Raw genomic sequence first — 2115 nt, 5'->3', positions numbered from 1 at the left:
ATCATATTAGCTAACATCTTATCCTATTAAAGTCAGTGCAGTGAAATATAGTATCTCTCAGCCCATCCCAGCCCTGCCACAATATAAAGAATGAAGCCTTTATGGCCGAGTGGCTGAGCCTGACTCTTTTCCTCAGAAGCCTATTGGAGAGGGATACACAAAATAATTCCATGGCCCAATTCCCTTCTGAATATTTTCATTTCATCCAGTGCTTACAAGCAAATGCTTCACTTCTTGGTAACATTACAATGCTCTAAACACCCCAATCCCTTAAAAAATAAGCATGTGTAAAGCTAACTTCAGACAAGCCCTGATCAAGACATTTTCATTATACTCATGGAGTATCATACTTGCTAAATAGTTCCTGTAACTATAACAATAATAACATACCCATTTTTATATTCATCATTTTATTCACTGTAAGAATTCAAAAGATTTCATTGACTGTTGTTTCAGTTTTCTTCAGACACTTTCCATAGTCTCTGCTAATGGAGTTTCCATTTTACCAGTGTGTAAACGAAAGGCCAAGAGAGTGATTTAAAAGAACATCCAGTCAACTGTGAGTTAATCTCTGACTTCCTGCCTGGTCCCCAAGCCAGCTCCCTAACCCCTGGGTGGTGCTCATTCTTTTTGGCAAAATGATGTTTTCAAACTCCTCTTCTTGAAAATGCTTTGTTAGGGGTGGTCTTCGCTTTTACCGGAGTGGGCTTCGGGGAATGGAGGCAGACACTTAATCATCTGCGAGATCAGCCCTCTTTGGGAGTGAGAAAAATCCCTAAATTTGCCTTCCGTTACTCCAGTTAGAAAAGCAGTCACCTCTGGACTGGAAGTAATTAAACTCTTTGTATTTCAGCGGTTAGTGCACTGCCCTTGTAAATCAGGGATTATGAGGGAAAATCTCCCCAAGGCTTGTTCTCTCCATTTATTTATTTATTTTGGAACTCAGGTGCAGATAGGCCAGTTAATCATACAACTCAGATCATCACCTGTCTTTAGTTTATGAAAGTTATTTTATGTAATTTTAATTTAATTTAATTTTTCTTTTATCTACAGACTCCCACTCTCATTCCCTCAACTTCTTCCCACAGAAACTCACTCTAATTAGTGAGTGTTTGATAAATATCCTTGAGTATATATCTATCTTTAAAAAGTGTAATTATTTTGTTTATGCACGTGTTAGTCCTTACATAAACATGGCACTAAGGAATGCTTTCTGTTTCTGTCTTTTTTTTTTTTAATACAATGCTGAGATTGTTAAAATGTTGGGTATCCACTCCTTGACAACATTTGGTATTATCTGACTTTCTAATTTTTGTCAATGGGTATAAAGTGATAACTTGTATTATTTTTGCATGTCTCAGATTACTTATAAAGATGAATGGCTCTATATTCTTGTTATATGAACAGCGTGTCCATTGCTTTTGCTTATTTTTGATTGAGTTCTCTGACATTTCATTATTGTTTTCATAGAATTTTCTTGTTTCTTCTGGGTAATTAATCCTGGTCAGTTTTAGATATTGTAAATATCTTCTCCCAGTCTGTCACCTGTCCATTATCATTGTCTATAGTGGTGTCCTTTTTGAATAGAGACCTTATGTTTTGACGTAGTCAAATCCATTCTGTTTTAAAAGTTTATCTCTACTCCATGATTATACATATACACTCCAATATCTTCTTCCTTTATCTTTATGATTTTCCCTTTCACATTAAGTTCCATCTAGAAGTTACCTTAGTATATGGTTTGAGATAGGAGTCTAACTTAACTTTTTTTTTCCATAGAGTGAGGCATTTTTCTCAATATCTTGACCAGTTTATAATCTTATCTATGAATAAAGAAATTTGTATTATGGGAGGTACCAGAATGATGTAGGTAAGAGTAGAGAGTGAGGAACAAGTAACAGGTGACTTATTTCCCCTAAGTATGCTCTCTAAAAGTGGTACATTTTCAAAAAAGTTTGAAGACAACATATAGCCATAGTAGTTATTTAGACAATGATGACAAGATATTAGAGGAGTCGAGTTGAGGATGGAAGAGGCCTCAGTTTAAGAAACACAGATAAACCAGAGGGCCCACAGACATAGTCAAAATGAGGAAGAGCCATCCTGAAAACGCTG

General features: G+C 35.8%; 1 annotated feature.

Annotated features, from left to right (window-relative positions):
- Positions 304-865: an enhancer, noted in NCBI's record as "NANOG hESC enhancer chr11:35676186-35676747 (GRCh37/hg19 assembly coordinates)". NCBI's record gives its function as "activates a minimal SCP1, AML or CMV promoter by ChIP-STARR-seq in primed H9 embryonic stem cells {active_cell/tissue: H9 hESC(primed)}" and the evidence as "EXISTENCE:reporter gene assay evidence [ECO:0000049][PMID:30033119]".

The sequence above is a fragment of the Homo sapiens genome, chromosome 11 (assembly GCF_000001405.40).
Source record: "Homo sapiens chromosome 11, GRCh38.p14 Primary Assembly".
Taxonomy (NCBI): Eukaryota; Metazoa; Chordata; class Mammalia; order Primates; family Hominidae; genus Homo; species Homo sapiens.
Note: the sequence above shows the minus strand (reverse complement) of the source record. Positions and strands in the feature narration are given on the sequence as shown.